We start from the raw sequence: 26,952 nt of genomic DNA, 5'->3' as shown, positions 1-26,952 counted from the left end.
CAGCCTGGCCAACACAGTGAAACCCTGTCTCTACTAAAAATACAAAAATTGGTAGGGACTGATTGTGCATGCCTGTAACCCCAGCTACTCAGGAGGCTGAGGTGGGAGAATTGCTTGAATCTGAGAGGTGGAGGTTGAAGTGAGCCTAGATTGCACCACTGCACTCCAGCCTGGGTGACAGAGCAAGACTCCATCACCTCACCCCACCTGCCAAAAAAAAAAAAAAAAAAAACAAAACAAAAAGAAAGAAGATGCGTGAACAGTTGAAGGCCAAGAGCACAAAATTACAAAGTTTTGACACTGTCAAATGACAGAAGAGTTAACAACAACCAAAAAAACAAGGGTAGAAAGATTATTGAACCCAATAGAATGCTTTTGTTGCAGTATAAAATGGAATTTAAACTGGCTAAACAAAAGAGATTTATTTGTTTGCGAATTAAATAGTGAAGATGTAGAACCATCTTCAAGAGTGGCCTCATCAATCTTTCTCTGGGATTCTGTGGGCCTTGCCATCCCCCATGTGTTATGTTTATCCTCAGGCTAGGCCAGGGGGTCATTTCCTGGGGAAGAGAACATGTAGTTCCTGAAGGGTTGATTGAAAGGCTTGTGGTTTGCCTTGATTAGCTTACTTCTGGACCAATCACTGTAGCTAGGGGGAGTGACTTGCACTGTAGAAGGAGATAGTATAATTGTTTTTTAATGCCTTATGATATGTTTGGCTGTGTCCCCACCCAAATCTCATCTTGAATTGCAACTCCCACAATTCCCACATGTCACAGGAGGAACCCGGTGGGAGGTGATTGAATTATGGGGGCAGGTCTTTCCTGCACTGTTCTCATGGTAGTGAATGAGTCTCACAAGGTCTGATGGTTTTAAAAATGGGAGTTTCCTTACACAAGCTCTCTTTTTTGCCTGCCGCCATCCATGTAAGACGTGACTTGCTCCTCCTTGCCTTCTGCTATGATTGTGAGGCTTCCCCAGCCATGTGGAACTGTATGTCCATTACATGTCTTTTTTGTAAATTGCCCAGTCTCAGGTATGTCTTTATCAGCAGCATAAAAATGGACTAATACACCTCCCAAAACCCATGGCTGCTAAATAGTGGGGGAAGAGTGAGTCATCACTTGAGTAGACTGCAACTCCAGGCCTACATAATCTTAATGCCTACTGATCTCTTGTTTCTTCCAGAAAAAGCTCCAGGGAGGGCTTTGGAGGGATTGGTCCATGTGCTCTTTCTTGAACCAATATTAGGTTTAAGGGGGATAGGCCAGACTTGTGTGTTAGCTGCCGGAGGTGAATGGGAACGGTCAGCACCACACAAACAACATGGAACGAACTCCTTATAGTCACCACAGTCCCTTCAGTGGGTTTCCTGGATTAGTGATAGTGATACCACAGTTATAAAATAGTTTCCATTTTCTGCTCCAGAGAATGATTTTATTTTCATTTTCATTCTTTGTAGAGCTTCTTATTTATGTGTTTTTATAATCTGTTGACTTGGTTTTTTAAAAACTAATTTTCCTTTCATTTTCATGTAAAGGATCAGTGATATCTTTCTTGGTAATCTGCAAATTCCTCCAAAGCAGGTGTCCTCTTCTTTTCTCTCTTCTCTCTTCTCTCTTTCCTCCTCTCCTCTCCTCTCCTCTCCCCTCCCCTCCCCTCCCCTCTCTTCTCTCCCCTCCCCTCTCCTCCCCTCTCCTCCCCTCCTCTCCTCTACCCTCCCCTCCCCTCTCCCCTCTCCTCTCCCCTCTCCTCCCCTCTTCCCTCCCCTCTCCTCTCCCGTCCCCTCCCCTCCTCTCCTGTTTCCTTCTCCCTTCCCTTCCCTTTCCTCTTCCCTTCCCTTCCCTTTCCTTTTCCCTTCCCCCTTCCCCCATCCCTTCCCTTCCTTCTTCTTTTGTTTATCTTTAAGACTTTTACTACCACTTCAATCATGGATTTTTAGTAGTATGCTAGAGCTGGTTCTTTCTGGCTCTCTAGGGTCAAGAGCTAAATGTTCAGAAACTTTTTGAGTTGGTTGTTAAACCATTAGTGCCTTAAAATTGTCCCTGGGGGAGTATTTATACCATGGAAATTGAAAATGCTACAAATCAGGACTCTTCTTCCTCAGCCAGTTAGCTGTAAACCACTAATCTCATGTCAAAATATATTATAATAAAAGGCTTTTCCTGTGTTATAATTCATCCTCTAGGAAGTAAATTGTAATTCCAGTTTCCAAATTCTGTCTGTATTGTGTTTAAAGATTTAAAAGAATAAAATTATTAGGAGATTAAGTATAATTTTTCACATAATATTGAGCCCATTATATTTTTTTCTGATTTCAAAACCTGAGAGTCTTAAAAAAATAAAAAGACAAGCCACAAATTGGAAGAACATATTTGCAAGTACTATATCTGGTAAACTATTTGCATCCAGACTACATAAGGGATATTTATAACTCAATAACTAGAAGATAAACTATCCAACTAAAAAATAGGGAAAAGAGCTGGGTGTGGTAGCTCATGCCTGTAATCCCAGCACTTTGGGAGGCTAAGGTGGGAGAATTGCTGGGGCCCAGGAGTTTGAGATCAGCCTGGGTAACAGAGCAAGACCTCATGTCTCTTAAAAAAAAAAACAAAAAACAAAACAAAATGAAACAAATATATATGTGTGTGTGTGTGTGTGTGTGTATGTGTATATATATGTGTGTGTATATATATATGTATGTATATATATAGAGAGAGAGGCAAAAGATACGTATAGACTTTTTTTTTGGAACAGAGTCTTACTCTGTTGCCCAGGCTGGAGTGCAGTGGCACAATCTCAGCTCACAGCAACCTCTGCCTCCTGGGTTCAAGCGATTCTCCTGCCTCAGCCTCTGGAGTAGCTGGGACTACAGGCATGTGCCACCACACCTGGCTAATTTTTGTATTTTTTAGTAGAGATGAGGTTTCACCATGTTAGCCAGGCTGATCTGGAATTCCTGAGCTCAGGTGATCCACCCACCTTGGCCTCCCAAAGTGCTGGGATTACAGGCGTGGACCATGACACCCAATCTGAATAAACATTTAACAAAGAAAATACAAAATGGCTAATAATCTCAAGAAGAAATGCTTAACACCATTAATCATTAGGGAAATGCAAAATAAAACTACATGCTATTATTACATACCTACTAAAATGGCTATAATAAAAAGACTGATAATATCAAGTTTTTGCTAAGATGTGTGTAGAAATTGGAAATTTCATACGTTGCTGGTTGGGAATGCAAAAATAGTGCAAGCACTATGGAAAACAGTTTGGCAGTTCCTCAAAAAGGTAAATATAGAATCTTTAATCCAGAAATTCCACTCCTAGATATATATCCGAGAGAACTGGAAACATGTACCCACACAAAATTTGCACATGAATGTTCATTATGTGTAATAGCCAGATGGAAACAATCCAGATGTTCATAAACTAATGAGTGGATAAATAAAATGTGAGATATTATCTACACAGTGGAATACTATTCAGCAATAAAAAAATGGCTATTGATACATGCTACAACATGGATGAACCCTAAAACATTATGTTAAGTGAAAGAAGCCAGACATAGAAGACTATCTTGTATAATTTCATTTACAAGAAACCTTAAGAAAACGGCAAACTTATAGTGACAAAAAAAAAAAATCAATTTTTGCCTGGACCTGAGAGTAAGAATGTAAGTGATTGCAAATAGCCACCAGGGACTTTTTTGGAGTGATGAAAATATTTTTAAGTGAATAGTGGTTGCTACACAACTCCATAAATTTACAAGAAATCATTGTATACTTACGTTGAACAAATTTCAAGATATGTAAATTATGCCATTTCTTACCCTGCCACCACCTAGTCGCGTGGAAGTTGAGGCCCAGGTGCATTTAAGATTCAGCCTCACAGGTAAGCCACAGCCATGGCCGAGGAAGGCATTACTGCTGGAGGTATAATGGAAGTTAATACTGCTTTACAAGAAGTGCTGAAGACCGCCCTCGTCCATGATGGCCCAGCATGTGGAATTCTTGAAGCTGCCAAAGCCTTAGACAAGTGCCAAGCCCATCTTTGTGTGCTTGCATCCAACTGTGATGAGCCTGTGTATGTCAAGTTGGTGGAGGCCTTTTGCGCTGAACACCGAACCAACCGACTTAAGGTTGATGACAAGAAACTAGAGCAATAAGCAGGCCTCTGCGAAACTGACAGAGAGGGGAAAGTGGTTGTAAAGTGGTTGGTGGCAGTTGTGTAGAAGTTAAGGACGCTGGCAAGGAGTGTCAGGCCAAGGATGTCATCAAAGAGTACTTCAAATGCAAGAAATGAACACATAAAACTTTGGTGCATACCAACATGCACACGCACACACACACACAAATTATGGCTCTTTAATAAGGCTGTTTCAAACAGCGTGAAAGTCACAAATTCACTTATGTATTTCTCATTAATAAGTAAAAGTAATAAGCATTCAGGGGTTTAACCTTTTCAGCTTCTTTCATCTGCACTCTTCAAACTTCGATGAGTGGGTCAGAAACATTGAATATGCATACTTTTCTAAGGAACAAGATATTTAATCTTTTCCTCAGTTTTAGAATCTAACCTACTGAATGAAAAGATTTTAGAGTTATGTTACAATTTGATGACTGCTTATGTGGAAATTAACGATCACAAAGAAAATTGGGAGACATTACCAGTAATATGCTTGCCAAAGTGGAAAAAGTTTTAATGATATAAAAACATAACTAAATAAAAACACATGGAAATGCATGCACACACACACAAAGTAAGAAATTTATTATCAAGGATGACTTTGGATTTTTAAAATATAATCTTATTCTACGTACTTTATCTAGGTAGATTGTTATTTACCTTTTGGCATTATTTTCAACTGTGGCACATTATAATTTTCTCTGGGCACTGCTTTTATTATTTGATTGTTCTGATAATCAGGAAGTCATTCTTCATGCAATTTGAATTAACGCCTCTCTCCTTACAATCTACCTTGTGACTAAAAATGGGGAAAGATTTGGCTGTGTTCTGAAAATGTGCTGTGGCTGACCCGGCAGCCATAATTTCAAAGTTTATTCTGGCTCTTCAACTCTGTACTGGGAGGCCTTGAGATGGGTTTGAAGAAGGTTGCAGTGACTTCAATCTTTCTGTGTAAGAAAATAGGACTTTTTAAGGGGCCCCAGGTGTGGTGGCTCATGCCTGTAATCCCAGCCTTTGGGAGGCCAAGGTAAACAGATCATTTGAGGCCAGGTGTTCGAGACTAGCCTGGCCAACATGGTGAAACTCCATCTCTACTAAAAATACAAAAATTAGCTGGGCATGGTAGCAGGTGCCTGTAGTCCCAGGTACTCAGGAGGCTGAGGCAAGAGAATTGCTTGAACCTGGGAGGCAGAGGTTGCAGTGAGCCAAGATCATGCCACTGCACTCCAGCCTGGGTGACAGAGCCAGACTCCATCTCAAAAAAAAGAAAAAAGAAAGAAAGAAAAAGAAAATATGACTTTTTTATTCTATGAGAGATGGAGCCCAGGAGGCAGAACAGCTAGACACCTGAACAGCAGGGCAGGAGTTTGTCGGCCAGGTTACAGAAATGATTACAAGACTTTGTAGAAACAGCAAATTAAAATGTTATTTTATAGATATTTCTGTTTCTCTGAAGTAAATTCTCTCCACCGTCCCCAAACTTCAGCAAAGTCAGCTTCTCTGGAAAGCTTGTGTAAAAGGATGTGCATCAGTCTTTCCCATTGTGGTTAAGAGGTAGATGGAGAATGCAAGAACAGGAGATGAGCTCCTTGTGTGAATCTATTCAGGCTGACGAGAGTTAGCAAATGCTAAATGGTCATTAGTAGAAGCAGAGCCAAAAGTAATCACAGAGACTTAGGCTTCCTGATACTTCTTAGAAATCTGGGACAGAGTTAGACTGCCTGAATATATGGGTTTAAAAGAAAGCATCAAAATGTTCTGTTTGTATTAATATATACTGATTTTTTTTTGGAATTCAATGAAAGGCTTGAATATACTTCTTCCTTAGGCTATGCTAATACTATAAACCTGACACAAGAAAAACTTTTCTTTTTTTTTTGAGATAGGGTCTTGCTCTGTTGCCCAGGCTGGAGTATAGTGGTGCAATCACAGCCCACTGCAGCCTAAACTCTAGGGCTCAAGAGATCCTCCCACCTCAGCCTACCAACTAGCTGAGACCACAGGTGCACACCACCATGCCTGGCTAATTTTTTTGTGTTTTGTAGACATGGGGGTCTCCCTATGTTGCCCAGGCTGATCTTGAACTGCTGGGCTAAAAGGATCCTCCTGCCTTAGCCTCCTAAAGTGTTGGGACTACAGGTGTGAGCCCCCATGCAAGGCCCAAGAAGAGCTTTTGAAGAAGAGAATCGGCATATGTATGTGTGTTTAAAACTACCCTCTGGTGATATTATTCTTAATCTTACAGCAATAAGATTGTATTGATGAAGTCAGATTCAAGTTATGCTTTTAGGATATCTGCGGTATAATTTATAAGTTACTTTAACTTCTATCTATTCCCAGACCTGCTCTCCAAGGTTTATCACCCCCACTCTGCTAGCTAATTTTCCTGAAATTCTAGATTTCTAAATAATGTCCTCATATTGCAACTTCTCAATTTGTCATTTGGGACTTAGTTTTTTTCCCCTGTATTAGTGTGTGTTTAATTTGGGGAAATGCAACCATTCTAGTAATTCAGTACAGGGAATTACCAATTCAGTGCAGTGATTACTAAATTGTTGGGAGTAGGGGATGGGGCAGGGAAAAACTGAGTGGGAGGCAAAGGCTGTTGCAGGACTATTGGGTTCAGTGGCATACCATGTAGAGTAGGGTTGATACAGAGGTCAGGTGGCTGCTGTTGTCACCTCTGCTAATGCCCCACATCCATGAAGACACATTAGGATGTGAAGTCTGCCTACTGCAAACATTCTTCTTCTTCTTCTTCTTTTTTTTTTTTAAAGACTGCATCTTGCTCTGCCACCCAGAATGGAGTGCAACCTCCACCTCCTGGGTTCAAGCGATTCTCCTGCTTCAGCCTCCTGAGTAGATGGGATTACAGGCACCTACCACCATGACTGGCTAATTTTGTATTTTTAGTAGTAGAGACGGGGTTTCATCAAGTTAGACAAGCTGGTCTCAAACTCCTGAGCTCAGGTGATCCATCTGCCTCAGCCTCTCAAAGTGCTGGGATTACAGGCGTGAGCCACTGTGCCTGGCCTACTGCAAACATTCTTATCTGTCTAATCTTGTTTACCAGCTGCCTCAGTCACAAGAAAATGGCCTTTGCCTCACTTCTGCCTTCCAAATCTCAAATGAGTGCATCTTATGAGAGAACTTAAATTGTGTCCAGAACTGTAGCTGCAGGACCTTTTGGGAAATGTGGTCATTTTTAGCTTCCCAGCCTTTGTAATTAAGGGGGTATGTGGAAAGAGTGCGAATGTATGTTGAAGGCCAAACAATAATACCTAGAAAACTCCTGTGTTCCATCAGTTTCCTTCCCCTATCCCCTGATGTAGTTACATTAGCATTTTTGGCTAAACCAATACTCAGTGTTTACATTATCATGACTGTGCAAATGTTACGCAATGTTTAGCCATGTTGTGCACTACACCACACCTCTTTCTCATATAATACTTTTCCCTGCAGTTAATAATTCTCCCTTTTCATTTGCCAAGTTTGCTAAGATCTTCTTGCTGATTTTCCAGATCTTATGATATCTCTGTCACACGCTTCTCAAGAATCCTTTCAATGTACTTAAATATGAATTGGGGATGGAGGGGCAAATGTGACAGAGTCGGTGTGTAAGTCTGGCTGCTATTGTTCTGAATGTAGAGTAGAAAAAGCAGCTGAAAGTCTTAGTTTCAGCATCCAGATTTTCACTTAATCCCCCACCCCCTATTTTCAGTCTTCCATCTGCCACACTATGTTTGGTTTCAGGAGTTCAGGGTTTCTCTGAGTGAATTTCTGGTCCTTGATGGGTGAGGTGAAGTGGGAAAGGGGCCTAGACTTCCAGCTGCTTCATAAACAAACAGACTGTACAGTCTTTCAACTAGGCCCTGATTTCAGCTTGAGCCTCACCCCTACTTCCCATAGGAACTCTGCTGTTCTAGCCCCAAGCCTCCAGATAACACATTGGCTAGCTTTACTAGTTTCTCCCTCTGTGGACCCTGAGGTTACACTGCTAAATTAATTACTTCTGCTCCATCTTCTTTTCCACTAAATTTGTTGAGATATTTCTCACCTGCTATTGTCCATTTATCTTTTTTTCATGTACTTTACCGCCTTTTAACCCTTCTCCTTTTTTCTCCATTTTTGTGGGATTTGTGAAAACAGAAGAAATAGATGTTCGATCTGGTTTGGCTGTGTCCCCACCAAATCTCACCTTGAATTGTAACAATCCCCACATGTCATGGGAGGGACCTGGTGGGATGTAATTGAATCATGGGGGTGGTTTCCCCTGTGCTGTTCTCGTGATAGTGAGTGAGTTCTCACGAGATTTGATGGTTTTATAAGTGTCTGGCGTTTCCCCTGCCGGCACTCATTCTGCTGCCACCCTCTGAAGACGTGCCTTCCGCCATGATTGTAGGTTTCCTGAGGCCTCCCCAGCCATGCAGAACTGTGAGTCAGTTAAACCTCTTTTCTTTATAAATTACCCAGATTCAGGAAGTTATTTATAGCAGCATGAGAACAGGCTAATACAATGTTCAATTAACTGTGCTAACTAGAATTGTCTGTGCCTTTCTCACCACAACCTGTATTTTCTCCATAAGGCTTTTTTGATTTTCCTTTGGTGATTACGACATTTTAGAAATGTTTTACTGCATTTTTATGTATAAAGAAATTGATGCTCAGAAAGGTTAAGTAATGTATTCAAGATCAAATAGTTAGAAAGTAGCAGAGTCAGAACTGAAAATTTGGTCTTATGAATTTCCAGGGTAGCATTAGGACCTGGAAGAGTGACTGGTATTGTAGACACACTGTAAATATCTATTGAATGAATAAATAATTTTCATAGATTCTCATGCAGTCTTTGTGTGAACTACCCCATCATGTGCACTGGTAATATTCTGTATCTTGATCTGGCTTCCTATTTTACAGGTGTGTTCAATTTGTGAACATTCTATTCTGGAAGTTTTTTTTTGTTTTTTTGTTTTTTTTTAAATCACATGAGAGGGCAGGACCTGGAAGATCAGGAAGGGCCAGGACTTGGAAATGGTCACAGGGAAGGTACTGAATGGATGACCCTTCAGGAAATGCTGTGGGAAAATCTGGCCTGCAATCAGATCATGGTATCCAGGAGGAATTGCCACAGAAAAAAAAAAAAAACAAACAACAAAAAGCCCACAAAAACAGTTCAGTCCAGTATGGAAACGCTGTGGGAAAATCTGGCCTGCAATGATATTATGGTATCCAGAATGAATTGCCATAGGAAAACACAAAAACAAACAAACCTCAAAACAGTCCAGTACAATAGAGTGAATGCATCTGGGAGACTGAAGAAGTACCGAGTACAGTCAAGCAGGTGGAGTATTGGAAAAGAATATTAAAAGCTAAAATTAAAGTGGATAAAAAGCATACTGTAGATTTTTAGTAGATATTAGGGCCTATATTCTGAAAGGGAAGATAGGAATCAAGAACCAAAGTGTTGACAGGTTTTCAAGAATAAATTTATGATTTATTTCTTAAATTATCTCCAGTTTTCTCATATCCTTATAAAACTGTGGTGATAAAACTAGCTTGGGTGCACTACAGGTTTGACATGTTTTAGTTGGCACATTATAGTTTATAAAAGAAATGACATGAGTGTAAAAACAAATGTGAGGCACTAAGTAAAAGAGTGCTAAGAGAAAGTACTGTGCTTATTTTTGTATAATATTTTATTTTTAAAACATTTTAATTTTTTAAAATATAAATTACTCATGATTCTTTCACTTTTTTGAATTTATAAAAATGTTTTTATGATGTAAAGTTACTGTCAATATCCAGTTTGACTGCAAACATTAGTTTACAACTTATAGCTGCTGCATTATTATTTAAATATTTTTTGGTAGTATGATAAACAGAAAATCAATCAAATTGTACTTGCAAAACTGAATGAATTTTCACAAACTGGACACTTCTGTGTCATGAAATCCAGACCAAGACACAGAATATTATCAGCATTGCAGAAGCCCTCCTGAGCACTGAAGCCACTAACCAACCCTCCCACCTTCCCCAACAAGAGTAACTGTCTTGACTTCTAAACATTGTACATCAGTTTTACCTGTTTTTATATTTTATATTAAGAAAATCATACATTATATACTGTTTTTGTGTTTGGCTTCTTTTCGCTCATCATTGTTTATGAGAGTTATCCATGTCATTAGGCATAGTAGATCATTTATTCTCATTTTTGTATATTATTCCACATTGAGAATATTTTATACTTTATTCTACTGTTGATGGACTATAAACGTACCAATTATTTTAAAGAAAAAAATTAATATAAAGAATTGGCTAAATAGGTGTTGGAGGACTGAAAAGGGAAAAGGAAACACTAAGATAATACAAAGACAATAACTGCAGGAAGCACCTGTAAGGCTTGTGGACAAAGGGGAAAAGATCATTAGAACCTAGAAGTTTAGAGGAGAAGTTCTGTGGAGATGGAATCAAGATCTCTGAAGAGGGGTTGTGGCTCAGGGGGTGCTGATGCCTTGGGACCTTGTAAAGGGGGTCCCTGAGGATCCCAGATGGTACAGATTCCTCTGAGTGGGATGAGGAGACTGGCTGTGAGAGTGTGGGAAAAACTGAACACCACAACCAATTGCCAATGCCAGAGTGAAGAACCATTGTTGTAATGATGCTGACAGAAACAGAAAGCAAAACAGGAAGGAATCTAGTTCCTTCTCCCTCTGCAACCCTTCCAGTCTCTCTTTAGCACCTCCCTTGGTAGAACCTAACATAGATTTGTCTGGCAAAGTAGAAATATGGTTGCAGAATTCCAGCCTCAACCTTACAAAGCAGAGTACAGAATGACAGTTTTGGAGCTGAGAAACAGTAACTAGAAAACCAGCATATGTAGTTTCCAGGTATTAGCTCTTACCAATTGTCTTAGTTCCTTTGGGCTGCTATAACAGAATACGTTGGACTGTGTAATTTATAAACAATAGAAAAGTATGACTCACAGTTCTGGAGGCTAGAAAGTCTAAGATCAAGGTGCCGGCAGATTTGGTGTCTGGAGAGGGCCTGTTTCTCATAGATGGTGCTTTCTTTGTGTCCTCACATGGAGATTTGTCCATTTTTCTACTGGGGTGTCTGATTTTTTTCTTACTAATTTGTAGGAGTTCCCTATATATGAGAGTCTTAGGAATTCCCAGTCTGTAGACAAGTTTTCTTGCTCAGCAGCATTGCCAAAGAAAATAGCAGGAAGATGGACAGCTGGGAAATGCAACCTAGTTGCGCATTGGGTCAGGCACAGAAAACCTTCTTTTGACATTTCTATTATTTATTCAAGGATAAAATCTTTGTTTGAATAGGTTATAATAAAAGGAACCATATTTCAGATTGACCTGTAGACAGGTTTGTGTGAAAATGTCATAAGGCTAACCATATGAAAGAAATCTTCCTATGAGCTTTCTTATTTCAATATTGATATAAAGCATCAGGCAGGTACATCTAATTTCATAAAACGCTTTTTTAGAAATATTTTCATGAGCATCTGTGGCCATAGGATTAAGTAAAGACCTAGCTTATCTAAGTGGAAGGTAAGTGAGATGCTATGATAAACAACTAGCTTGTGTCTTATTCAGAATGCTCTTTTTTTTTTTTCTGGAGGTTTCTTCTTCTGTGAAGGCTTACTAAAATATAGCATCATTAAAGTTTTCATTGTGTGCCCCTTTTGTCCTTCATTTATTATGCAGTTCATGAGAGAATATAACTGAGTCTCAGGTGTCTACATTTTTATAAGATCATGTAACGGAAAGGTGACTTTAGGGACAGCCAGCGTAATTTCTTCTTTGATTTAGTAATTTCTCTATAACATCCTTGAATGAGTCTTCAAAACTCTTTTCAGTAAGAGTAAACTCACCATCTTAGAAAGTAGCCAATGGTAGTGCTAGACAGTTTTTTTTTTTTTTTTTTTTTTGAGTTGAAGTCTCACTCTGTCGCCCAGGCTGGAGTATAGTTGCACGATCTCGGCTTACTGCAAGCTCCCCCTCCCAGGTTCAAGTGATTCTTGTGCCTCAGCCTCCCCAGTAGCTGGGACTACAGGTACGCACCACCATGCCTGGCTAAGTTTTGTATTTTTAGTAGAGATGGGGTTTCACCATATTGGTCAGGCTGGTCTCGAACTCCTGACCTCAGATGATCCATGCACTTCGGCCTCCCATAATGCTGAGATTACAGGTGTGAGTCACATGCTTGGCCTAGACAGTTTTTATTATAGGAAATTTATTTCTTGTTTTGGCATAAATGGACTCAAATTCAGAAAAGAATAAGCATGGTGCTCAAAGGACATAGGATAACATAATTTAAGGAATGTTTGCAAGAGCCTGAGCATGTTTCTTTTGCTAAATACTCAGGAGAGGCAGACAGCTATTTGAGAATATATAAGTGACCATCCTATGTGAAGTAGATTAAGCCCAGTGTGTTTGATCCCACACATGATTTTGACTTACTAATTGAGTTGCTAACAGAACTGGTTAAGGATAGAATGGCTGCTTTAGTAAGATCCTGACTATAGCAGGAATAAGCAGTTAGCAGACCACTTGGTGCAACTGTACTGTAGATGATACTCACACATTGGTCTAGTTCCAACAATAGATAATGAGACTCTATAATATTTGCTTCCTTCTAACTTCCATCTGTTTCTGGCCCCTGAGACTCCTCCCTGCCTGCTGGCCCTAGCTTGGATGCTAAATTAGTTTTCTTGGGATGCTGAAACAAAGTACCACAAAGTGGTTGCTTAAATATGTAAATTTATTGCATCAGGGTTCTGAAGGCAATAAGTCCAAAGTTAAGGTGTTGGCAGGGTTGGTTCCTTCTGAGGGCTGTCAGTGAAGGAACTGTCTAGGACTTTTCTTGGCTTGTAGATGGCTATCTTGATGGTCAATGGCTTTCTGTTTGCAAATTTCTCCCTTTTATAAGGATACCAGTTATATTGGATTATGGACCACCCTAATGAACTCATTTTGACTTATTACCTCTGTAAAGACTTTATCTCCAAGGCTGGGCATGGTGGGTCACATCTGTAATCCCAGCACTTTGGGAGGCCAAGGTAGGTGGATCAGCTGAGGTCAGGAGTTCGAGACCAGCCTTATCAACATAGTGAAACCCCGTCTGTACTAAAAATAAAAAATAAGCCAGGTGTGGTGGTGGTGCATGCCTATAAGCCCAGCTACTTGGGAGGCTGAGTCAGGAGAATCGCTTGAACCTGGGGGGTGGAGGTTGCAGTGAGCCGAGATAGCACCATTGCACTCCAGCCTAGGCAACGACAGTGAAATTCCATCTCGGGGAAAAAAAAAAAAAAGACCTTATCACCAAATAAGGTCACATTTTGAAGTATTGGGGGTTAGGACTTTATATGAATTTGGGGAGGCACACAATTCAATCCATAATAGATATATATGGGAATATTTGACCTGTTGGATAAAGAGACTGGTAGAGCTTATGAATTCTAGAAATTAGCCAGGCCAGTCAATATTTTGCAAAATTTCTATTGTCTTAGAATTAGCAGCTTATAATAAATATTTTATTGTGCCCATGGATTCTGTGGATCAGGAATTTGGACAAGGCCTAGTTCAACTGGCTCATCTCTGCTCATAGTCTGGGGTCTCAGCTGAGGAGATATGAGGCCTGGGGATGACTCAGGGGCTGGGTGCTGGAATCATCTGGAGGTATCTTCACTCACTTATGTGGTGGTTAATGTTATTTGTCAGCTAGGACATTAGTAGAAGTGTCAGTTGAAATACTTACAAATGGCCTCTTATTGTCACCTGGGCTTCCTCAAAGTATGGCAACCTCAGGGGAGCCAGGGCTCCAAAAGTGAGTATCTCAATATATAAAACGGAAGCTGCATTGTCTTTTCTGACCTATACTGGGAAGTCATGAAATGCCACTTGTGCTGCTTTCTGTTGGTTAAAGGTGAGTCACAAACCCACCCAGATTTTGAGGAGGGGATATAGGTCTTATATCTCTCTTGATAAGAGAATTTCTGACCATGAAAAAAAGAACATATATCTCTTTAGAGGGGATTTAGGTTGGCTGCAGTAGTTCACACCTGTAATCCCAGGACTTGGCAGGCCGAGGTGAGAGGATCACTTGAGCCAAGGAGTTCAAGACAAGCCTGGGCAACATAGCAAGACCCTGTCTTTACAAAAACATAAAGGAAAAACAAAAAAACCAGCCAGGTGTGGTGGTGCATGCCTGTGGTCCCAGCTACTTGGGAGTCTGAGGTAGGAGGATCATTTGAACCTGGGAAGTTGAGGCTACAGTGACCCGTGATTACACTACTGCACTCTAGCCTGGGTGACAGAGTGAGACACTATCTCAAAAAAAAATATGTACATATTTTTTTTCTAAAAATGAAGGAGATTTAAATTATAAAATGTATTGTAAAGGACCTTCTAAAAGATAGACAAGTTTGCTTGTCTTGCTTTTGGGGAGCAATAGAAAACAGACAGTACATAGAAAAAATAAGGCTTGTAGAGCTTAGTCAGGCTTACTGGACACGACCACTTCATATACTGGTCATGTGTGTCTTTCCATAACATAGAATAACTTTTGCTTTTAAAGTTAATCTCATACTCTCCAGGATCTGCTGAGGCTTTTAGAAATTACAAAAGCAAAAAGTAAAAAAAAATTATAACTGTTAAGTTTTTAACAGAAAAGTATAAAATAAAGAGGAATAAGTGTAACACATTTTTTTGTTGGGGGAGGGTCTCATGACTTGTCCAGATAATTGTACTACCTAATTTATTTATTTCATACAAGCCCTGAGCAGACTAGGGATTTTAACTAGACTTGATATAGTCAACAGATGGCTTTCACTTTCTATGTAATTTCAGCTCTCTGTTGACTTTATAGCTCTTTTTTTATATCTGCTTCAAAACACATTATAACTTGTGCAGCAATTTTATCAAACAAGCTGGACTGTGTAGTGAGAGAATTATTTTCTATTCTTTCCTTTTAAACCTGCTTTTGGATTGACTCTTCCTTTCCTGGATGAAATATTTGGCAGGTGTAATAGCATTCTGATTCCTTCAATCACAAGGAGGCCTTGTTTTAGCCAATAAAAATCCCAATCAAGGATAATATCATAATTTAGGATTCTTATCTAATTTAGGCTTCTCTTGTGTTCCAGCTTAGGCCTGACTGGGGAAAACATGCTCTGCTTCTCCATGATACTCGAATTCTGCTTGGCAAGGGCTAGACTGTGAAGAGTCTGTTATGTCAAACTAGAGAACTTGGGCCCCATCTCTCTCTCACCAATACACTGAAGAATAAAGAAACCCAGGCGAGGAGGAGTGAATGAGCAAATTTTGCCTTTCTCCCAAATCACTGAAGCCAAATTTGGTTGGTGCTTGGAGGAAAAAAAAAAACAACATAAAATTGGATCAAGATTGAAGTTTTAAAAATTTGATTAGACTAGGCTAGAAATTAATAACTGAAAGTAACCCCCTGCCTATGCAATCTGCTCAGGATATTAAAAAATAGGAAAGAGAGATTGTATAGAGCATGGTTAAAAGGAGAAAAAAATGGTTTCATGTTAGCATTCTACCAAGTTTAGACCACTTGAAAAATTTCATTAAAAGACGTACCCATTATTTAGCAGGGACAGGGTGTAGGGGAGTGGTATGTGGGAGACTGTGGAAGATGCCAGGTTGATGCCAAGAAGATGCTTATTTGTATAATTTTGCTTGGAACTTGAAATTCAAATTTCCATTGTAAATTATAATATATTGCAAAATGCTTTTTTGAGTTAGACATTCTGGATTTTTAACAAAACTCCAGAGAAGTTATATGATGCTGAGTCCATCTTAGATGATCTTCCCCCCACTGCTCACTAAGCTCCACCACATTGGACTTTCTCAATTTCTTAATGCGCCAAGCTCTTTGTTGTTCTAGGAACACTGCATATGTTCTGCTTAGAATAACTTCCCCCAAATCTTCACCTAGCTAACTCCTGTACATCCCTTAGGCCTTAAATTGCATATCCTATTTTAGAGAAGTTGTCTCTGATCCCACAGCATGAATTGGGTGCTTCCTTGTTATAATCATAGATGTCCCTCTTTTCTTTTTTTATCACTGCAATCTGTAATTATATATGTGTGTGTGTGTGTGTTTGTTTTTCTCATGTCTTATTCTTTCACTAAGTGGTAAGCCTCACAAGAGTAGGACTACTTCTGTCCTATTAATCACTATATAAGCAATATCTAGCACAATGCCTGAAAGATAGAGGTTACTTAATTAATCTTTTTTGAATCAATGAATAAATCAAAGTGCTTGCTTGGTTGTACTAAAACATTCATAGTATTTCTGAAGACTTTTTTTTTCTTTTTGTCTGGCATTGCCAGGCTACTCATACTGAGAGAGAGAGAGAATGAATAATTTACAGAATGAATATCTAGGCAACTTCAATTTAGGTGGTGTGCAGCAGAAATGAAGGGATAGAAGTGAAGCTTGAGACAAGGGATTTCAGAAAATTCTCCAAGTAGTCCCAGTGAGTATGAACTGGATCCTAATTGTGCGACAGGCTTCATTTCCTATGCTCCTTGATTTTTCGTCTCTGAACTGTTTAAGGATACAGAAGAAATGACCCATTCTCACTTAGAAAGAGTGACGAGCTTGTGGGGATGGGGATTTTTCCATTTTGTTTGAAACAAATTATGTACAGTGGAATACATGTAGGACTGAAATTATGGGAGCCTTAAATTTATTCTTCACAGGATTTTGAATCAAACAAATATTGATTAAGAATGTTTTGTAGGCCGGGCACGGTGGCTCACACCTGTAATCCCAGCACTTTCGGAGGCCGAGGCGGGCGGATCATGAGGTCAGGAGATCGACACCATCCTGGCTCACACGTGAAACCCTGTCTCTACTAAAAATACCAAAAAAAAAAAAAAAAAAAAAAATTAGCCGAGCGTGGTGGCGGGCGCCTGTAGTCCCAGCTACTTGGGAGGCTGAGGCAGGAGAATGGCATGAACCCGGGAGGCGGAGCTTGCAGTGAGCCGAGATCGCGCTGCTGCACTCCAGAATAATTTTGTATTATTTACAAAAGAATGTTTTGTAAATAATAATATAGTAATGCACTATGAAATAAGAAGTGGTCTGTAAAAGGAAAAAAAAAAAGGCCAAATTTTAAAATCAAAGGGTCACTTATTGTTTCAGGAAATAGCATGTCTTTATCATTGTCACAAAAACCAATAGCAGAAATAGAAATATGCGTCAGTGTTATTTAGGATTGCACTTGAACAATGCTAATTTGCACAAGGCAATTATTTTATAAACTTTTGAGGAATGGGGATTATGTAGAGATGAAGGTTAGAATAAAGGTAGGTATGTAAGCTTGTAGGGAGGAAGATTTGTTTGTCTCTACCCACGAATTGGGCCAATTCCCGGATGTCACATCACAAGCCAGATTCCAGAGGAAATGGCGGTTGACCTTTTATTTCTTGTTCAATGCCATTGGACAAAAACACGAGTTTAACTTTCAAGTTGCTTTTGGCAGAGGCCTTGGGGTTGCTCCTCTGCCCCCAGCTCTTTTCTGAGTGACACACAGAGCCTCAGCCATCCTTAACAGACGTGTTCTGAGTGCTGTTTCTTGGAATAGCAAATAATACGGCCAATACCTAATTTAGAACTTTTATTCTGTGCCAAGTGCTATGAGCTTATTTATGGATTATCTCATTTAATCCTCATTATTATTTATAATGTAGATGTTGTCATTATCTCCATTTTATGGATAATGACACTGAGGCTTAGAGAAGCTAACTCACTTGCCTAAGATTATATAGCCATTAAGTAGCAGTGACCAGATCTGAACCCAGGCAATTTGATTCTAAACTCTCTACTGCCTCTCTTAATGGCTGCCCATCAGGGAATTCACTCTTCATGGTGGATGTAGTGCAAACTTGATAGATAGAATGGAAGGCAAATGTTAAATGCTATATGACTTGCCTTACACTTATTCATGTCAGAGTGGAACTGCCAAAGGTCAGGATTGTTTGGAGGTCCATAAAAATTCTATATTGCTTGTCTTCCCTGTGCAAAGTGCTCATTGAACATCCTATCCCCAACCTACCCGACTCCTTCTCCATCTCTCATGGGGTAAAGAGGGGAAACAAACTCTTTGGCAAAAATAGACATTATGGTGTAAATCAACTAGGTAAATGAACATCCCCCCACCTTATCTTTATAAAGTATGAACATTGAAAGAAAATCAGAGTTTTTAAAAAGGCAAATTTTGCCATTACAATTTGAATAAAGAACTCTTTTGTTTGACAACATAAAGCTTTAGATGAAGTACTATTTTAATATGTAAAAGATTAAGGACAAATTAAAAGCTAAAACATTCTCCGTCAATACTTGAAGTTGAGCAAAAATCACAGGATATAGGTTAAATTTAAACAATTTCCACAGCAAGGATGGTGTTCAAAGTCATCACCCAGTAGGAGGGTGGCCCCTATTCCTGAGTTTTGATCCTTGACCATGATTCCTGGCCTGCAGACACCCAAAGCTGCTTCATCTCACTTTATATCTCTCAGAATGCCCTAGAATTTCTCTCTTTGCTTCTCCAGGAATCCCTATTACCAGCCCCTCCTACTCTCCAATTCTCTGACTCTTGATTTTGGATTATATTTAAAATTGCTATTATTGTACTATGTAGGCCCTTTCTTAAAATTTTAGACTCTCAAATGTTGCAGTCATACACTTCCTTTTTCCAAATTAGAAACTAAGAAAAATAATAGCAGCTCTCTTCTGCTTCCATCCTTCCCCTCTTTACAAAAAAGAATCTTAGAACTCTCAAAATAAAAATATTCTTTTCCATAAATCGGTTCTTCTTCCTGTTGGAACTGTACTTGATCAATATCTCATGACATACTTAATTCTGCTGCTTTCAGCAGTAAGTTTTGGGTAATAATTTTCAGGGACAAGGCAACTCTGCAATATTACCTTATCCATTAACCAATGAATCAGGTAAGAAATTTTGTTTTTCTTCTTTTTCCCTGATAAGCAATTTAAAATACATCTTTTGTAATATTTGGATATGATTTTAAGATAGCACATAAAACTTCCAAAGAATTTCAATTTTGCCATGGACAACTTGCCCTCAAAGTCATTGTCTCCCTCTAGTTTTACTTTCTATTTATTTTTACTTTCTATTTAATTTTCTATTTAAGTTTCATTTTTATGGTAGCTAGACATCCATTGTATGGACTTAATTACTGTACAAAGTGTATAGTGCTCACAATATTTTTAGGGGCCCACAAAAATATATGAATTTTATTTCTAATTCAGAAGGAAAGATATAATGATAATATTTAATAATTAATCCAGCCTGGGGTGTATACCAAAGCAGTCACAAAATATAATTGTGTGTGTGCATGTGTGTGTGTATGTGTATTCTTTTCAATGAAGGAAGGGGCTCTGAAGGCAAAAGTGCTTGGAACTCATGATAGTCATAACACTATGAAAGTGGCTAGCTTCTTTATAGCAAGTGAACATTTTAAAACTGACAGCCATATTCCATATTCTTCAAAGTTTTTATGTTGTTTGTGGTTTTGATGATCATGTGAACCATCCCCACATTATGCAATTTATTGGTCACAAATTAAAACTAAAATGGAGTATAAAGTTCTGAGAATATGAGTCTTGAACAATAAATAAGCCTTCAGGTATTGATATGTTATCTTAATTTGGCTTTAGTCATTCCTTATCATAAGTTTTATTTATTTATTTATTTTTAATATAAACTTAAAATAAAATCCTACCCCCCTTCCCCACCAACTGAACAAACCCCCATTGTGCCCAAGAGAACTCCAGGAAAACCTTAAAACTGAGTTCCCAGCCATGATGGAATGGGAGGTCAGACACATCTCATTAAACCCTTTCTCTTTTATGGTTTAGACAGAACAACTGATCAGCATTAATGTTAAAATAGAGATCATAAGACTGACAGAACAAACTCTTCGTGGCAGTAAGATACCATATTACACCATGATACAAACAGGACCTAAGGCCATGCCAGGCAAGGATTAATTCACGCACCCCCTACACTTAAGTAATAAACTAGGTTTTTCTTTTTCTCTGTCAGCTAAACAAGCACTGGCTTCGAGATAAGCAATATTAAAACAATTTGCACCTCTACCAGATTCTGACCCCCACTCCCTGTTCCACCCACTCCCTGTTCCACCAGCCATAGCTATAGCTTTGATTGGACAAGAGACTGATTTCAATAACTTTCTCCTGATCAGAAGATCATGGACCATGGACTGGTTCTGGGCGGTTTACAGATATTGTGCACTTGTATGCCTTCCTGCCCTGAAAGAAACTTTTGATTTATAGGGCCTAATTGTAAATACATTTAAATGTTAAGTCTCCACCCCAAAGTAAACATGGGTCATGTTACATGCATGTTTGTTCAATAAGCATGTAACATCCAATATGTGTCAGGACCACCCTCATGAATATTCATAGCTCCTCCTATACCTGTTGAATATGTACGTTTAGCCAACCTGTTCAGCATAAAGCTCCCACTCCAAGCACTCCTCCTGTGAAGTGCCTGTCTCTGGTCTTGCGGGAGGCATTTTTCTAAATGCCTTTAGAAGAAACAAAGTCTTTCCTTTTCTAAATCTACATTTATAAATCCTATTTTTTTTTAAGTTAACATAAGACAAGGTTTTTACATGTAACATTATTGGCTTTGTTTACCTTTATTATTTTCCAAAACTATGGCACCATCTACTGGTAGTTTAAAGAACGGTTCTACATGCTTAGATAATGGAAACGGTTCAATCCTACATCCCATGTATTTACAAAAGACAGTTCACATTACTCCCTCCTCCTCTTGCCAATTCAATGCCTTTTAAAAAATCTACTCTGTCCCTTAAAAGTCCGTTTTTACCTCTCCAGCAATGCCATCTACTTCTGTAGTTTCTATTGAACCATAATGTTCAAACTCCAACTCTGATATTTTTTCCTGATGTTTTCCTAGCTTTGTCTTTTCAACTGCTAACTGAACTGGATACCTTTTCAACTCCAGCTGAAAGGCATCAGCTGGATTAAGGATGGCTGCTGTTAAGCCATCTCTGGCAGCACCTCATACACATCAGAAGTCCATCTTTGTCTCATCTCACATAGGACAACTCTCTGTTGTACTTTGCCTTTATTTCCAGAAACTGCCTTCTGTGTCCATACCTTCTGCTTTTGTAGTCCAGCTCACTCACTTAACTCACATCTTTGTCATCTATGCCTTTCTCTATGGAAATTTTCTGGCGCTGACCTATTTCTGGCTATGGAACCTCTCAACTATGATTTCCTCCCCTTGCTGGATCATTCCTGACAGCAACTCTCGGATGCTGCATTCTCTGAAGCACTTAGATGCTTAGAGCCCTTAGATGAGGGCTCAGACTAGCCCTTGGTCTACCAGTAGTTATACTGGCTGCTTATCAGAGTGCTGGGAACCCTTCTTAAAACTCCAGATACTCAGATCTCTCCTCAAGGGATTTGATTCAGTAGCTCTACTGGAGACCCTGGGAATTTTAATAAATGCCTCAGAAGATTTCTGGTACAGCTGTTTCATTTGGGAACCAACAGCCACAAGATAAATTATGTGTCACAGAACACAAAGCTCTGCGTAAACTGGCCCAAGTCTATCGCTGTGGTTTCATATTTTGCCATCTGATCTGCCATTCTTCTGTAGGCATTTTCCTTATTCCTTGTTCTTTCTCTTTTTGCTCCTTCCTAGTTGGAAAATTTCCTCTCATCTTTTTTTTTTAATTTTAATTTTAATTTTTTGAGATAGAGTTTCGCTCTTGTCACCCAGGCTGGAGTGTGGCATTGTGATCTCGGCTCACTGCAACTTCTGCCTCCCAGGTTCAAGCAATTCTCGTGCCTCAGCCTCCCGAGTAGCTGGCACTACAGGCGCCCGCCACCATGCCTGGCTAATTTTGTATTTTTGGTAGAAACAGGGTTTCACCATGTTGGCCAGACTGGTCTTGAACTCCTGACCTCAGGTGATCTGCCCACTTTGGCCTCCCAAAGTGCTAGGATTATAGGCATGAGCCATCATGCCCGGCCTTCTTCTTATCTTTTAAATCACAGGTCAAATATCATCTTCTCTTTAGGGATTCCTTGTATTCTTCTTTTGCCTCCCTTTTCATTAAGCAAAATTAATCTTTCTTTTAGCTGTGCCACTATACCTCAATTGGAGCTCACATCACAGAGTCAGATTCACACTCTGAATCCAGGTGTTTATGTCCTAAAAAACCTAGAGAGTAAGTGATCATTAAAACATGGTCTATGGATCTCCTGCTTCACAATCATCTAGGGTGTGTGATCAGTGAAAGATTTTCACTGCAGATCTATTGAATTAGACTCTCTGGGGATGAAGTCTGCAATTGGTAAAATTAGTGCAGGTAAGTCTTCTGCTCATTAAAATTTGAGAACCATGGTTCTATCAGCTGTAGAAATTCAGGACATCAGCTGAAGTGACAATTCTTCCATGAACTGCATTAATCAACAGGACATATGTCAGGAGCTCAGAGCACTCACATCTTTATCAGCAGCAAGGCCAAGGGGTTGGCTTCAGTTATTGGTGTTGAAGTTAGCGTTAGCGGTACCACTGCTTACTTTTCTTTTGTTTGTTTTTAAACCATTGGTTTTCCTTTTAAACAGGCCTCCCAATTAAAAACAATGCTAGGTAAAAGAAAATATACTTGAGAGCAGCATCTTATTTATGTGTTAAACCATGGTTCTTCTCCTAAAACCTTAACATTCCCTGGCCTTAGAATTTATTATAATCCTAAATTTAAGAGGATGATCTATATTGTTATATTGTCATCTTCATTTCCCTCTTATGCACTTATTGAGATTAGGACCCATATCTAATTGCTCCTCAGTCTTTTTAACCTGGAATCTCCAGGTTTTTTAAAAAAATAATTTCAACTTTTATTTTAGATAAAGAGGGTATATGTGCAAATTTGTTACATGGTCATATTGTGTGATGCTAAGGTTTGGGATATGATTGAATTTGTCACTGAAGAAGTGAGCATAGTACCCAATAGTTTATTTTTCAACCCTTGCCTCCCTCCCTTCCTCCCCACCTCTAGTAGTCCCCAATGCCTATTGTTCCCATCTTTATGTCCATGAGTACCCAGTGTTCAGCTCCCACTTGTAAGTTAGAACATGCAGTATTTGGTTTCTGTTCCTGCATTAATTTGCTTAGGATAATGGCCTCCATCTGCATCCATATTGCTGCAAAGGACATGATTTCATTCTTGTTATGGCTGCATAGCATTCCATGGTGTATATGTACCACATTTTCCTAATCTAATCAACTGCTGATGGACATCTTGTTTGATTTTATGTCTTTGCTATTGTGAATAGTGCTGCAATGACATATGGGTGCATAGTGTCTTTTTGGTAGAATGATTTATTTTCTTTGGGGCATATACCTAGTAATGGGATTTCTGGGTTGAATGGTTGTTCAACTCTTAGTTCTTTGAAAAATCTTTAAACTGCTTTCCACAGTGGCTAAACTAATTTACATTCCTTCCAACAGTGAATAACCATTCCCTTTACTCCACAGCCTCACTAGTATCTGCTGTTTTTTTGACTTTTTAATAATAGCATTTTGAGTGGTGTGAGATGGTATATCTTGTTATGGTTTTGATTTGCATTTCTCTGATGATCAGTGATGTTGAGCATTTTCTCATATGTTTGTTGGCAGCTTGTATGTCTTCTGTTGAGAAGTATCTGTGCATGTCGTTTGTCCACTTTTTAATAGGATTGTTTGTTTTTTGCTTGTTGAATTGTTTAAGATCCTTACAGATTCTGGATACTAGACCTTTGTCAGATGCATAGTTTGTGAATATTTTGTCCCATTCTGTAGGTTGTCTGTTTACTCTGTTGATAGGTTTAATTTAATTTTATTTATTTATGTATGCTGTGCAGAAGCTCTTTAGTTTAATTAGGCTCCACTTGCCAATTTTTGTTTTTGTCACAATTGCTTTTGAGGACTTAGCCAAAAATTCTTTCCCAATGCCAATGTCCAGAATAGTGTTTGCTAGGTTTCCTTCTAGGATTCTTACAGTTTGAGGTCTTACATTTAAATCTTTAATCCATTTTCAGTTAATTTTCATATATGATGAAAGGTATACAGTTTCATTGTTCTGCATATGGCTATCCAGTTATCCCAGCATCCAGGTGTTTTTCAAAATAATATTATCATTTTTCACCTTGGGAGACTCAAACAGATAAATGGGATTATACATATTCTTATAGTTCTTTGGTAAACAATAATATAATCACTGTGTAGTCTCTTTCCTGGATCAGTGGTATATTGAACTCATTTTTAAATTGACTCTTATAACAATGCAAACAATATAACTTTGTCAATTAAACATAGACATATATTTGAAGAAGATAAAAAAGAATAAAACTAGCAAAAACCGATTTGAGAATTCAATTAAAGTCTCTAATATAGATTAAATACCTACTGTGCACCAAGAGAAACACAAAGAACCAGCACGGTCCCTGCTCTAGAGGAATTTATGAACTCTATAGAGAAAAACATATTTATATATAAGCCACCATACAAACAGAGGAGAAAATTTTTTTCATGATGCCTACTTTTAAGCCAAACATTATAAAATTGGAGTAAATACTGATAGTTAACTTTCCTTCTTTTATCCATCCTCATTTCATTTCAGCTACATCAGGTCAGGCCCTCGCTTCCTCACAGTGGTACTCATTACCTCTCAGTTGGACTAGTCTTCTAGCTGGCATTTTATCATCCAATTCACACTCTAAACTATTGCCAGATTACTTTTTCTAAAACTTTGTTTTTATCATAGAATTCTCTGCTGAAAGCACTGCTTCAGTTTTACCTTATCAATTATTATAAGGTCAAATTTTATTGCCTATCTTGGCATTTAGGGTTCTCTAAAGTCTCATGACATTGTACTTTTCTGGTGTGTTTCCAGCTCCTCCCTTGTGTGAATCAGATGCTCTAGATACATGACCATATGCTCACAGCTTCCTCCTCATCCTTCAAGGCCCAACAATCCAAAGTCAGTACCATTCTGTCTCCCAACATCATACTATTTTATACTCCTCTGCCTGAGCAGCTTAATTTCCTTTTGTCTGGAAAGCCCTATCCTGCCATCTCCTCACAGCTAACTCCTATTCACCTTTCATTAAGCAGTTCAGGTGTCATCTTCTGACAAATCCTTCCTCCAGCATCTATGCATGGGCAATGTGCTCTTACTGTGTGCCCTCATAACACTGTGCTGCTGAACCTACCACCTAGCATGGAAACTATCTTTCACGGGTTCATCCTCCGCTACTAAATAACAGGAAATAACTTGCAAACAGAGACTTTATTTTATTCATTTTGATATCTTAGTATACAACGGTAATCAATGAGTGTGTCTTTTTAAAAATTTTTATTTGTATAAATATAAGGGGTACCAGTGCAATTTTGTTACATGGATATATTGCATAGTGGTAAAGTCTCAGCTTTTAGTCTACCACTGGAATAATGTACATTGTACTCATTATACAAATTCTCAAATGATTGTGTCTTTAACTGATCCAAAGTAAGAGCTTCTCCATGAAGTTCATCCCAAGCCTGAACTTCCTTCGCCAAGCTCCAGTAACATCAACCTTATGCCTTTTTACTTAACATCCTTTTGATAATTTCTGTGTATTAACTCTTTTTATTGGAAGTGGCCGAAAATCCAACTCAAACCAGCTTAAGCAAAAAATAGAATTTATTGGATAATCAATTTGGAAGTCTAAATTATAGAGTTGTCTTCAGGAACAACTGGTTTCAGGAACTCATCCAATGTCAGCAGGACCTGGCTCTTCTCTTTGACTTGGCCCTGCCTTCCTCTGGCAGCCCCTAAATGTGCAGGCTCCAGCCTTTCCCACTCAAGTCCAGTGGAAAGCACATGCCTTCCTCCCCTCTGCCCTATTCCCCCTGCAAACACTTGAGAATCAGCTCTGATTGGGCCATGTACTTGTCTGGCTCAATAAGGCAGAGATATAAAACATCAACCTTGTTGCTGGTGAAAGAGAATGTAGAGGATAATCTTAGAGTTTAAGTGAGTTTAATAATAACCTGAGAATGTTGTAGATTAGCCACCAGTCATGACAGTGTTAGACTGGCTCCCGTCTTTCCTGCAGCCTTTCCTTCCCCACTAAGGGCTTACTTAGCCTGCCCCTGGCCAAGCAGAGCAGAACTCTGTGTTCCCACAGACCTAGCTCTTGAGAAAATACATGGAGTTGCATATGTATTTTCTAATGCTGGGCATAGGAATATGCCCAGTATTTTTTTCCCTACTGTAAGAACTAGATACCTCTGTATACCTCCTCTTGGGCTGAGTGAGAAAAGAGGAGTGATTACAATGTTTACATGTCTTTAAAATGTAAGGGAAACATCAAGCTTAAGGAAAGAGTTATTCCCTTCTAATATAGCCCTTCCCTGAACCATTATCTGTGATCAGAAGATGGGTTGGTCTGCTCTGAGTTACATGGACATCCCCAAAGGTAATGTGGAGTTCACACCACCTGCATTCTGACTGACAAGATGAACTTGCTTTTAAACAAAATCCACATGCAAATACCATGAGCAGGGGAAAATTGAGCCTACAGGCAGAAGCCACAAACTTCCACTGTACAATTTACACTGGTTATTTGTCAGGTCAGTACCCTCAGTTTTCTCATTTGTGAAATGGGAAG

At 39.0% G+C, this 26,952-nt stretch overlaps 1 long non-coding RNA gene and 1 pseudogene across 2 annotated transcripts in view; both read left to right on the top strand.

Annotated features, from left to right (window-relative positions):
• RPS12P8 (ribosomal protein S12 pseudogene 8) lies at nucleotides 3,830-4,324 on the top strand (annotated as a pseudogene).
• Nucleotides 8,544-26,952, top strand: part of LINC02945 (long intergenic non-protein coding RNA 2945) — a 308,805-nt gene continuing 290,396 nt past the window's right edge. For both annotated transcript variants that reach the window (NR_186682.1, NR_186681.1), the window contains exon 1: nucleotides 8,544-8,625. This is a non-coding gene — a long non-coding RNA (long intergenic non-protein coding RNA 2945). The remainder of the gene's footprint in view (nucleotides 8,626-26,952) is intronic.

The sequence above is a fragment of the Homo sapiens genome, chromosome 4 (genome assembly GCF_000001405.40).
Source record: "Homo sapiens chromosome 4, GRCh38.p14 Primary Assembly".
Lineage (NCBI taxonomy): Eukaryota > Metazoa > Chordata > Mammalia > Primates > Hominidae > Homo > Homo sapiens.
Note: the sequence above shows the minus strand (reverse complement) of the source record. Positions and strands in the feature narration are given on the sequence as shown.